Source organism: Homo sapiens, chromosome 5 (assembly GCF_000001405.40).
Source record: "Homo sapiens chromosome 5, GRCh38.p14 Primary Assembly".
Taxonomy (NCBI): Eukaryota; Metazoa; Chordata; class Mammalia; order Primates; family Hominidae; genus Homo; species Homo sapiens.
In genome coordinates this window covers 142197059-142210400 of record NC_000005.10, presented here as the reverse complement: position 1 = coordinate 142210400, position 13342 = coordinate 142197059, and the positions used below count along the sequence as shown (strand labels likewise).

At 46.9% G+C, this 13342-nt stretch overlaps 2 annotated features.

Annotated features, from left to right (window-relative positions):
* Positions 4196–4696: an enhancer, noted in NCBI's record as "H3K27ac hESC enhancer chr5:141585270-141585770 (GRCh37/hg19 assembly coordinates)". NCBI's record gives its function as "activates a minimal SCP1, AML or CMV promoter by ChIP-STARR-seq in primed H9 embryonic stem cells {active_cell/tissue: H9 hESC(primed)}" and the evidence as "EXISTENCE:reporter gene assay evidence [ECO:0000049][PMID:30033119]".
* Positions 8094–9293: an enhancer, noted in NCBI's record as "P300/CBP strongly-dependent group 1 enhancer chr5:141580673-141581872 (GRCh37/hg19 assembly coordinates)". NCBI's record gives its function as "activates an origin of replication core promoter dependent on BRD2, BRD4, P300/CBP, MED14 and CDK7 cofactors, with strong dependence on P300/CBP, by STARR-seq in HCT116 cells {active_cell/tissue: HCT116}" and the evidence as "EXISTENCE:reporter gene assay evidence [ECO:0000049][PMID:35650434]".

The following is a 13342-nucleotide window of genomic DNA, read 5'->3' as shown; positions in this document are numbered from 1 at the left end:
CCCTAAGTGCAGCTCCCTACGCATTTTGCACCCCCATCCGTTATTGTTTTTCTACTGTGCTTCTCATTTCTCTCAGAGCACATCGTCACAACGCCAATTCGATTCTTTTTTTCTTTCTTTTCTTTTTTTGTTTCTTGAGACAGGGTCTCACTCTGTCGTCCAGGCTGAAGTGCGGTGGCACAGTCACGGCTCACTGCAGCCTTGATCTCCCCAGGCTCAAGGGATGCTCCCACCTCAGCCTCCTGGGTTGCTGGGACTATAGGTGCACACCACCACGCCTGGCTACTTTTTGTATCTTTTTTGGTAGAGACAGGGTTTGGTCATGTTGTGCAGGCTGCTCTGGAACTCCTGGGCTCAAGTGATCCTCCTGCCTTGGCCTCCTGAAGTGCTGGGGTTACAGGAGTGAGCCACAGTATCTGGCCCTTTTTGCTTTTTTATTATTGTTCTTCTCCACTAGGTTATTAACTCCATGAGAACCGATGTATTCTAAGTGCCTAGCATAATTCCCAGCACATAATGAGTACATAATGAGTATTCAATTAATATTTATTGAATGAATGAAGAAATGAATGAATGAATGCTAAGTTCAGAGGGAGATGTCAAGAAGCATAAGATAAGCCGACCCCTGTGGCTCACACCTGTAATCCCAGCACTTTGGGAGGCTGAGGCAGGAGGATCACTTAAGCTCAAGGGTTTGAGACCAGCCTGGGCAACATAATGAGACCCCATCTATATTTAAAAAAAAAAAAAAAGGCATAAGATGTGATTCCTACTTTTACTCTTACTATTTATGTAGTGAAAAGGTGGATGTGTAGAAAGAAGTAGCCAGTAAGAGAGGTCATTCAACAAATGGTTTTGAAATAATGGTTTAGGGCATTCCTAGGCAAAATGGACAAACCTGGAGCTAAACTTCACACCTTATCCAAAAAGTAACTCAAAATGGATAGTAGATCTAAATGTAAAATATCAAACTTTTAGAAGAAAACATGGGAGAAAATCTTTATGAACTAGGGTTAGGTAAAGAGTTCTTAAACCTGACACCAAAATCACAATCCATGAAGAAAAACATTGATAAATTGGACTTCATCAAAATTTAAAATTTTCGCTCTGCGAAAGACCGCACGCAGAGGATGAAAAGGCAAGCCACAGGTTAGGAGAAAACATTTGCAATTCACCTTTCTGACAAAGAACTTGTATCTAGAATATGAAAAGAACTCTAAACTCAACAGGAAGAAAATAAATCCAATAGGCAAAGACTTCAACAGGCATTTCATGAAAGAAAATAAACAGATGAGAAATCAGCACAAGAAAAGATGTTTGCCGTCATTAAGCAATTGGGAAATGCAAATTTTAGCCACAATGGCATACCACTGTACACCTATTAAATAGCTAAAAACAACTGCTGCTATACCAAGTGCTGGGGAGGAGGCAGAAACTGGAGCTCTCACACCGTGGTGGTGGGATTGTAAAATGCTGCAGCTACCCTGGACAACAGCTTAGCAGTTTCTTATAAAATTAAACACACTTGCCATATGACCCAGCAATTGCACTCCTGGGCATTTATTCTATAGAAATGAAAACTGTAGCCAGGGCGCGGTGGCTCATGCTTGTAATCCCAGCACTTTGGGAGGCCGAGGCAGGCAGATCACCTGAGGTCAGGAGTTTGAAACCAGCCTGACCAGCATGGTGAAACCCTGTCTCTACTAAAACTACAAAATTAGTCAGGCGGCTGGGCGCGGTGGCTTACGCCTGTAATCCCAGCACTTTGGGAGGCCAAGGCAGGCGGATAACAAGGTCAGGAGTTCCAGACCAGCCTGGCCAATATGATGAAACCCCGTCTCTACTAAAAAAATACAAAAATTAGCCGAGTGTGGTGGCAGGTGCCTGTAATCCCAGCTACTCGGAAGGGTGAAGCAGGAGAATCACTTGAACCTGGAGGTGGAGGTTGCAGTGAGCCGAGATTGCATCATTACACTCCAGCCTGGGCAATAAGAGCAAAACTCTGTTTCAAAAAGAAAAGAAAACAAAACAAAACTATGTTCACAGAAAAATCTGTACGTGAATATTCAAATCAGCTTTATTTGCAATAGCCAAAAAGTGCCAACAACCAAAATGTCCTTCAAGAGGTAACCAGATTAAAAATAAAGTGTGGGCCGCAGTGGCTCACACCTGTAATCCCAGCACTTTGGGAGGCCGAGGCGGGCGGATCACTTGAGGTCTGGATTTTGAGACCAGCACGGCCAGCGTGGTGAAACCTCATCTCTACTAAAAATACAAAAATTAGCCAGGAGTGATGGTGCACACCCGTAGTCCCAGCTTCTCAGGAGGCTGAGGCAGGAGAATTGCTTGAACCCAGGAGGCGGAGGTTGCAGTGAGCCGAGATTGCACCACTGCACTCCAGGCTGAGTGGCAGAGTGAGACTCTGTCTCAAAAAAAAGAAAAAAGAAAAAGGTCGGGAGCATCTACACAAGAGAATACTGCCCACGGGTGTTATGCTGAATTCCAAAAGCTAATCTCAAAAGATACTTGCTATATAACTTATTTTATATAACATTCTCAAAATGACAAAATTATAAAAAGTGGTGGCCAGAAGTAAGGGATGGGGCGATAGTGTGACTATAAAAAGGGTAGCCCGAGGGAGTTCTTTTGTGGTGATGGCACAGTTTTGTATCTTGATTGTAGTGGTGGTCGCACAAATCTATACAGGAGACAAAGTTTCATAGCACTATGCACACATACAAAAGTTCACATATAAATTGGTGAAATCCAAATAGGGGCTGCCATCTAGTTAATATTGCCATACGAATGTCAATTTCCTGGTTTGTTAATGTGCTGTAGTTATATAAGATATTATCACTGGGGAAGCTCAGGGAAGGGTACAATGTATGGACAGGACCACTCTGGACTAGTTTTGTAACTTCTTCTTCTTTTTTGAGATGGAGTCTTGCTCTGTCACCCAGGCTGGAATGCAGTGGCACAATTTCAGCTCACTGAAACCTCCGCCTCCTGGGTTACAGCTATTCTCCTGCCTCAGCCTCCCGAGTAGCTGGGACCGCAGGTGTGTGCCACCATGGAGGGCTAATTTTTGTATTTTTAGTAGAGACAGGGTTTCGCCACGTTAGCCAGGCTGGTCTTGAACTTCTGGCCTCAGGTGATCTGCCCGCCTCAGCCTCTCAAAGTGCTGGAACTACAGGCGTGAGACACTGCACCCAGCCTTATTTTTGTAACTTCTTATAAGTCTATAATTATTTCAAAATAAGTTACAAAAAATAATAAGGGCAGTAAAGATTAAAGTCCCCAATGTGCAAAATAAGTGTTAGAAGCTATAAGCACCCAGGGGAGTTCTGGCTCCCGTCCAGTTGGGAGTGGTGATATTTATTAAGTACCTACTCCTCATTGCATGCCAGGCATCATGCCCCACACTAGGGGGCATTCAAAGACACTGGTCTTATTCTCCAGAACGTCATAATAAGAGAGAAGGAAGGTGGGAGTAGGATGGAAAGATATGACCATTGTTAGGTCTGGGACCCAGTAGACCCACTGTAAGCTGCATCTTGGTCAGGACTCCATTTGTTACCTGGACCCCCACATCCCCACCTGACAGGGGAGCTATGATGACACTTCAGGTCCTTGGGTGTCAATGTCAACTCAGACCCTGTGTCCAACGGTCCTCAAATGTCTAGGTATTGTATTCCCAGTTCCCTTGTGCAGAGTGACCTAAATAAATGGCCATAGGTCCTGTTGGGGGAAAGCACAGGGGTATCACATGCCAGCAACAGGAGTTTTACATACCATGGTAATACAGGGTTCTTCTTTCTGGAAACCCAGCCACTTTTCTTTCTGGAAACCCAGAGGAAGTTTCACCATGTTGGCCAGGCTGGTCTCAAACTCCTGACCTCAGGTGATCTGCCCGCCTAGGCCTCCCAAAGTGCTGGGATTACAGGCGTGAGCCACCGCGCCCAGTCGGGAGCCAAGTTCCATAGCAGCATCTTTGCCCTCAGCCCTGGCCTGCAGAGGAGAGCCACCACTGAACATTTTAGTGATGCTGGTGCCCTTCTCACCAACACATTGTGTCCTCTGAGCCCTTTCATGGACCGTATGAATAGACAGACATTCCGGCTGCCCATAGCCTATCCATTTTGGCACACTCATCGCCTTGAGCCTTTTAATCCTTTCCTCCACCAACTGCCACAGCAATTCTGGCATTTCACCTTTGCTCGGCAGGATGGTCACTTTCTCCGCACCTCTGGGGCATCCTAGTAGTGATGCCCAGTTAGTGCCATCTCCCTGGATGCTGCATCTCAGGAAAGCTCTTCCCTGTGTGCTGCGATGTTCTGGTCCTCTGATCGACAGTCTCAGTCCAGGCCCCTGCGCACTCCCCTGGTCCCTGTGTGTGCTGCCGTCTGGCTTGGTCCTGCAACCCCTGGGGAATGATCCCTTTCCTCCCGTATCAGGGGCATTGCACACCCAGCTGGATCATGCTGTGACCTAACCTTATTTTTAGGCCTAGTGGCCAGGAGGGGAGGTGGGAGCACTTCCTGAGAGACACTTCAGGAGAATGGCCTTTGCAGTGATCTCCAGCACAGGGACAGTGCTAGCTCCCACTCGTGTCGGTGGGCCATTCTGCATGCTCGGAAGGGTCAGCTGAGTCTGGGAATTCACAGGCTTCTGGAGCATCCATATAGATGTCTCCATCACACATATATATCACAGCCAGGTTTTACCCACCAGGGCCTTAACCTTGGTATAATGAAACTGCTTCAATGGGCATTTCATCCTGCCCTGTGCTGTAGGAGGTTAGAATTTCTTTGTATGCAAACAAAAAGGCCCTCTGGCTTCACAACTGCCTTTCAGTTGCCTGTTATGGCCCTCAGCTGTCTGTTCTTTTTCTGAAGGACATCAACTTTCTATCCCATACCCTATCCTTAAAGCAACTGTGAACGCCAGACCTCTCAAATACCTCATGCATAACACCTACTAGTGCGTTTCCCCCTCCTTCCTCACCAGGGGAATCCATAGTTGGGCCACTGCCCTGACCCAGGGGCTGCTGTGCCTCACCCCTCTTAATGCTGGCCCCGTGATAACTGGTCCAGTTCCAAAACCCACCTGTCAACTGCTTTCTGGGACCATTCCTTGTACCAACTATCACAAATTGGGTTCTCCAGAAGGCAGAGGCTGATATGGAGTTGAGGGTGCATGATGTTTACTAGAGATCAATAACTGTGAAAGGAAAGAGGTGCACGGGAACAGATGTAGGCAGAGGGAAAAGCCAAGCTGCAATGCAGACCTGTCAAATGCGTGGCCAGCCCAGTGCAGAGCTCTGGAGCAAATGTTGCAGCAGAGTTACCCTTGCCAGGCTGAAGTGGCCAGGCCCTGGTGCCCTCATCTCACCTGGCCCCCAGATTGGGCTCCCCTAGGGAGGCCATGGGCTCAGGCAGGACAACCCCTGTGGGAACAACAGCTAGAAGCTCCCTGCTGAGAGCACCGGGCTGGGTACCATGTCTTGCCTTAAGGGAGAGCTGGGTGATGATGGAAAATGAAAATCCTTGTGGCTGATGAGAAACTTCTGGAGAGATTTGAAGTATGGTTGGGATTTTAACAGAAAAAAGAGAAGGGAGAGACCTTCTCAATGGAGAAAGCCCCTGAAGGCTTCCTAGAAGACGGGAGAATGAGAGGCTCTGGGAAAAGGTGGGACTCTTGGGGTAGCCCCATCCGGGAGGCTGTCTTCTGGGCCTGGAGACACAGTGTGGGGTTGGGGAGGGGCCTCATGGAGTCACTTTTAACAGGCTGGAAGCCTCTTGAGGCTCATCATCTATTTGTTTCTCTCTCTTGAAAAATCGTTGTGACTATTCTTGCATAAACCCCAGAGATCTGCATGTGCCATCCACAGAGGGCAGGCTCCCAGTAGTGCCCCAGCTGGAGTCCATGACACTAGCAAAGTTCTTAGAAGGAATATCTGGCACGTAGCATCACTATTGAGAAAGCAGAGGGACTTGCCTCCTCAACCCCTGCAGGAGGTCCTGGCATTCCAACTGGACATCATCACTTCTGCTGATTTCTGCCCAGGAGGGGTCACCACCCCTCCCCCAATGCCCAACTGGCTGCAGGCGGAGCCCTGGGGGTTCACCCACCTCTCAGGAGCAAAAGGCCAAAGCAATGTGGTAAAGCTTCGCTGTACTGTTAACAATTTGAAACGGAGAAGAAAGAAAACCACAAGAACAACCCTTTGACCATCTACACACACCTCACAGTGTCTTGAAATCTACTTCATTGCTCATTTTGAAAGAACTAAAAATGAGGGTCCTCGCAGAGAAGTAAAACACCCCTGACTTGAGAAGACACTAACACAGAGGGGATTTTCTTTTTGCTTTTTATGTTTGCCTTCAATTGCACTTGAATCCAGATAAACACAAAGTCCCGTTGACACCCTCTTCCCCAGTTCCAGTCCCTTTCTGGAGGTGACCATGGTCAGTGTTTATCTTTCCAAATCTGTCTCTATGTATGTACCTACCTATATGTGTACAGATAAAAATAATTTTTGCGGCAGCATAAAAACATATTCTCCATAATAGCCTGAAGCTTGCATTTCTTTTTTCTTTTTCTTTTTTTTTGAGACAGAGTCTCACTTTGTCACCCAGGCTGGAGTGCAGTGGCACGATCTTGGCTCACTGCAAGCTCCGTCTCCCAGATCCAAGAGATTCTCATGCCTCAGTCTCCCGAGTATCTGGGATAAGAGGCGCGCACCACCATGCCTGGCTAATTTTTGTATTTTTAGTAGAGACAGGGTTTCGCCATGTTGGCCAGGCTGGTCTTGAATTCCTGACCTCAGGTGATCCACCCGCCTTGGCCTCCCAAAGTGCTGGGATTACAGGCATGAGCCACCGCACCCAGCCCTGAAACTTGCATTTCTTACACATAAATATATCTTGGAAATCTTTCCATATTAGCAGTGTGGTGGCATTGGAATGCATCCATTTGGGAAGGCTGGATTCTGTCTTCCCTGTATATGGCCAGTTAGGGGGGACCAAGAGACGTTTAGGCTGAGATTTGGATATCCTGTATTGCTGCTCATTTGACGGCTGCAGCTGCTCCACCTGCCCTGTGTCCTCCTTCAGCAGCTCCATCTCCTGCGCCAGGTGTGTGTTTGGCTTTGTGATGAAGGAAGAGGTCAGCTGCTCCCGCAGGACACTTGTACCAACAAGTTGGAGGTGGAGAGAGACTCCTGTGGATCTTGTGGGCTCCTGCTGGTTCTCACTCTTCCCTACTTACATCCCTCTTCTCTTCCTGCCGTGTGGATGCCAAGCTCCAGTGTCAGATGAGAAGGTAACAGCCTTCCCAAGACAGTTTAGCCAGCTCCCCGATTGCTTAAAGTCAAATCCCCATCTCTCTCTCTCTCTGTCTCCCTCTCTCTCTTCCTCTCCGTCTCTCTCTCTCTTTCTCTCTCTCTCTCTCTCTCACACACACACACACACTGTACCTCCTAGTGGTTCTACTGCTCTAATTGAACTGTTGAGAATACATAATGATACTTCATTCTTTATTCTTTTTAACCACCATGAAAATGGCAATGTGATTTAGCCTCTCTCCTATATGAGACCTTTGGGAAGGTCCACTTTGTTCCTCTAACAAACCATGCTATAATAAGCACTCTTGTTCATATTTGTTTGTTTTTTAAACCATATCTATAATTAGTTCTCCAGAAAAATTAAGCTGATGATTCAAAAAGTTTGCATATCTTACATTTTAGGAAGTAGGTCCAAATTGTAGGAAGGCTGCCTGGAACCAATGTAGATAGGGAGCATTGATGCAGTGGTTTTAGTCTCTTCCCCCAACAAGGATAGAGAAACATTTGACAACAATCAATTAGTCAAGATAAGCACTTTCCTTGGGTTCAGCAGTATACTTGGCACTAACACGTACCCAACATAGGAATTCCCAGACTGTACAGTATGCTCAAAAAAGTCTAAGGGACACAGAGAGTGTAGTAGGTTGAATCATCAATCTCAATACTTCACTGCCCTGTTGCAGCAGTATCACACATCCATACCTTTGCCATGGTCATGGGAGGGCAAAGTGTGCCATTCACCCTTGAATTGGGGCTTGGCCTTGTGACTTGTGTTAAATGCTAATTACAGATTTCAGATGTGAAGTGAGCTGAAACTTGAAATATGATTGTGCAGTTGGGCTTGCCCTACTTTTTGGCCATGAATAGAATATGCCTCAGGTGGCCGGGCGCAGTGGCCCACTCCTGTAATCCCAGAACTTTGGGAGGCCGAGGCGGGTGGATCACCTGAGGTCAGGAGTTCGAGACCAGCCTGGCCAACATGGTGAAACCCTGTCTTTACAAAAATACAAAAATTAGCCAGGCATGGTGGCATGCGCCTGCAATCCCTGCACTCCAGCGTGGGTGACAGAGCAAGACTCCGTCTCAAAAACTGAAAAATAAAAAGAATATGCCTCAGGTATCTGCTGATCCAAGGGGGATGAAAGACATGTGGTACAGACCTCAACTCAGCCACAACCTGGAGCCAAGACCCACAGATGCTAGCAGAGAGCAGCGGAGCCCCAGCTGGCCTAGAGACAGATCAGAATCACACATTGCATTTAGTCATCATATCTCTTCAGTCTCCTTCAATGTGAAACAGTTCCTTAGCCTTCATGGCCTTGACACTTTTGAAGATCACAGGTCAGTTTCTCATGGAATGTCTTTCAACTTAGTCCTCATGACTCAATCCTGGTTATGCATCTTTGGCAAGAATATCAGAGAAGTGATGCTGTGTTCTTCCCACATCCTATTAGCGCATTTCCTGCCTTGCTTTCCATTTGTCCCATTGCTGATGACGTTCACTTTGATCACTTGATTAAGGTGATGTCTGCCAGACTTCTTCACTGAAAAGTTACCCTTTTCCCCCTTGAAATTAATAGATGCTTTCTGGAGAGACTATCTGAAACTATGTAAATATTTATTTATTTATATTAGTGTGGAGTCATGGTTTCCTAAATCAGTCAATGGGTTATAACCATTACTACCATAATTTATTTTGGTGTTTAAATTGTCCCAGCTTTGCTTAATAGAAGCCCCTTCAAGTTGGCTTCTGTGTTGACATATCCTCATCATTTTTTTTTAGCACTTTTTTGCTTTCTGACACAACAGGATCTTCTAGGCTTTTCTTACACTTTCTATGCCTTAATATGGGAATCAGTCATTTCTGCAAGGAGCCCTAGTTCCTGCTATTGGAAAATGGTATTTAGAAGATCTGGGTGCTGGATGTGTTCATTGCTAGTGAGGTGTGTCACTCTTCCCAGGCCCTCAGAGCTAGTGAACATTGCTATCTCGTTTTATTTATTCATCCATCTACCTATGTGTTGAAAGCCATGAGTTCTGATATAGATCTCAATTCCAACACGACATTACAGGGTTCACTTAGGTTCTGTTCCTCTCCGTGATTGTAACTCCCTTCTCTGACTCTGAGAAATCTGGCTCCCATTATTCCTAATATATGTACTTTTTGATGACTTTCCCTGCTGTCACCCATCTGCCATCATCATCCTTTGCCCTGGACACGCTTCTCACCTTCTGACTCTCTGTGCCCAGCTGCCCTCTTGCGTGGACACCCTCTTCATCTCTCTAACACCCATATGGGGATGTTCCTCTATCTGCATGGACTCTGATCCTTCATGCCAGGCCTTTCCTCTGTGTAGACAACTTCTTCCCTCTCTATAGACTATGATACCCGCCGCCAGGCCTCTCCTCCCCATGCACACTCTCCTCTCCCACCCAGGTTCTGTCTTCCCACACGAGGGCATGCCCTTTCACCACGTGGATACGTCCCTCACCTTTCAAAGGCTCTGACATCCTCCTCCTCAGATGCCTTCTCCTCCCTGTCTACTCCCCATGCCAGGCAGTCTTTCTACATAGACACCCTCCTTACCCCACTCAGGCTCCGACACCCCATTCTGGACTACAGCAGTCTCTCCCAGGTGTACTAGGTGCCTGCCTTGCTTTGTCCTAATGGTTTTTAGAACAATCTGGTCAGAATGGGATGGGAAAGCACAGGAAAGGAAGTAAAAAAGAGGGGAGAGAGCCAGGCTGCTAAGTGAAGAACAGACTGTAGGGAGGCAGGAGGAGAAGGAAGACCAGGTGAGAGGCTATCACAGCAGTCCCATTGAGATGATGGTGACTCAGGTGGTGAGAAGTGGTCAATATTCCAGGTATATTCTAAAAGTAAAGTCAGTAAGAAATACTGATAAAAACACTTGGGAATTCAACCCAAGGACCATTTTTTTGTTGTTGTTTTGCTTAGTTTGCTTAGTCATGGCTCAAGTGGGTTGCAAATAGAAACCCACTCTAGGCCGGGCACGTTGGCTTACGCCTGCAATCCCAGCACTTTGGGAGGCCGAGGCGGGTGGATCACTTGAGCTCAGGAGTTCGAGACCAGCCTGGCCAACATGGTGAAACCCCATCTCTACTAAAAATACAAAAATTAGCCAGGTGCAGTGGTGCATGCTTGTAATCCCATCTACTCGGAAGGCTGAGGCAGGAGAATTGCTTGAACACAGGAGGCGGAGGTTGCAGTGAGCCGAGATCACGCCACTGCACTCCAGCCTGGGTGACAGAGTGAGACTCCATCTCAAAAAAAAAAAAAAAAAATGAAAAAAAAGAAACCCACTCTAACTTAAACAAAGAGGATAAGAGGATGAATTTGTAAGGATTCAGGTGTAGCTCTCAAGCTCTCAGAACCCAAAGGCAGGAGGAGCAGCTGGGTCTCACAAAGAGTAAGAACCAGTACCCAGAGAGGCGCCCGGTGCCGGGGCAGGCGTCCTTCCTCTATCTGACTCCGGCCACATGGTCGCTCGTCAGTGCTGCTGCCGCACACCTGCTCTATTCTTCTCCCTGGCAGACCTCTTTCCTCTGTTCCCCATGCACACAGCAGAAAATGGTGATGATGACCCACAGCTCCTGTCTTACCTATTCCTGTTCAAAAGACCAATGGGAACCAAAGAGTCTGATTCCTAGTTCCAAGTTCTCAGGAAAGAGGTTCTGAGTGGTCCAGCGTGGGTCAGTCGCCCATCTCCTATGGCCTCCTAATAAATATGTCAATATGTTGTGATACCCCATGTAGTGACCTCAAATTCAGCACCACCTGGACAAGTCAGTCAGGAGTGACACTCCCTTACATGTATTCCTTAAGGGGCATTAGTTCCAGGGAAAAAGAACCAATGATACGAAAGGGGTATGGCAGGAGGCATGTGTTTCATGGTTCCACAGGTTTGGGAAAAGGTTAAAGGGGGACAGGGTTACATGGTACAAACCTGGCTCCTGGAACTATTTTTATTTTTTTTTAGTTGTTATATAATATTTGACCTATGTATGGGCTACATGTGATATTTTGTTACATGGATAGAATCCCTAATGATCACGTCAGGGTATTTGGGATAGCCATCACCTCCAGTATTTATCAATACATTGTTGCTGACTATATTTGTCTTACTCTGCTATCATTGAACATTAGAATTTATACCTTCTGCAAGGCGGGTGGATCACTTGAGGTCAGGGGTTTGAGACTAGCCTGGCCAACATGTTGAAACCCCGTCTCTACTAAAAATACAAAATTAGCTGGGCATGGTGGCACGCACCTGTAATCCCAGCTACTCAGGAAGCTGAGGCAGGAGAATCGCTTGAACCCGGAAGGCGGAGGTTGTGGTGAGTTGAGATCGCATCACGGCACTCCAGCCTGGGCCACAGAGCGAGACTTCGTCTCAAAAAAAAAAAAAAAAAAAAAACTTATACCTTCTGGCTGGGTGTAGTGGCCTCAGGCCTGTAATCCCAGCATTTTGAAAGGCCAAGGCAAGCAGATCACTTGAAGCCAGAAGCTCGAGACCAGCCTGGGCAACATGGCGAAACTCCATCTCAAAAAAAAAAAAAAAAAACTTATACCTTCTATCTAATCGTGTGTTCGCACCCATTGGCTTGACCTCTCTTTCCTGGACCCATTCTTGATTGAAGTGGGGACACTTGTAGGGACCAGGGGTCAATGACCTCAAAAGTGTCCCTTATTCGCCTATCAAATGCAAAGAGTTGAGCAGTGGTTGTGAAGTACATGGAAACAGATGAGGCACAATCGGCCTCCTCAAGCCAACAATCTCTGAAGGGAACTAAGAAATACCACAGTGAGAAATGATCCAAGACAGCAAGGATTGTGTGGCAGGAGCTCTGGGGAGCATTGGTGACCTTCAGAAATGGAATGAATCCCACTTACCATCAGGCTGTAATCAGCAGCATCTCAGTTCACAGGACAGAAGCGGGGCGGGCAGGGAGAGGGGAGAGGAGAATTCTGGTTACTCTGCCGTGGGAAAGGCAGGCCCAGCAGAGACCCCTTGAGCAACACTGCCCTCTTATTCTGCAGGCAGTGGGTCTCTACAGGGCCTTGGATCCTCTCACCGCTGATTTATGGCTTGTGCAGCCAGCAAATTTATACTCTCTGTGGCTTTGTTTCTATAGTATTGCTCCTCCAAGAGCTGGCTTTATACCTCAGACATATAAATCTGTTAGAGGGTGGTATATGGCCCAAGAAGTCTTTACCGGGTAGGTAAGATTTTGTTCTCATCTATAGATTCTTTCAGAGTCCCCCCAACCTGAGTCCCCCCTTTATGTATTCAGGCTGTCTTTATTCATTGGAAAAACCAATCCAATCTACAGTGCCAGTGGTTGGGAGATGGGGCCTGTCTCCTTCCTAATGCCCTAAAATGTTCACAGAACCACCCAGTTCCCCACAGGCTGGAAGAGTCAATCTCAGTCACCTGCAAAGGAATTTTGCTAATACCTTTGTTTTTTGTTTGTGTGTTTGTTTAAGTAGAGACAGGGTTTCCACCATGTTGGCCAGGCTGGTCTTGAATTCCTGACCTCAAGTGATTCGCCGGCCTTGGCCTCCCAAAGTGCCGGGTTATTAGCTCTGGTTGATTCCGCCGTCTCTCAGACCTTGGCCAAAGGGGCGACACAACGACAAAACAGATGTGGAATCCTGTTACAACTAATTTCAGTTGTCATTTAAATCTTACACGTCTAGAATCATATTTGCAGTCTAAAGCAATATGGTGCTAGGGTGAAGAAGGAAGTGTCATGCAAATTCTTGAAATTCCTGCTCATTTCCCCCTCTTACTTTCTGAGTGTTGTTTGGTTGAAGGAAAGCTCTAGTGTTTGATGTAGGGATGGTGTGGCGGGGGGAGGGTGGATGAAAGATATTTATTTTTTGTGGCTGAATAAGCAGAGCTTGGAACAGACCATCTCCCACTTCCAAGCCAAGCAGCACATCCCGATACCTTCCTCAGGAGTGGCCTCTGC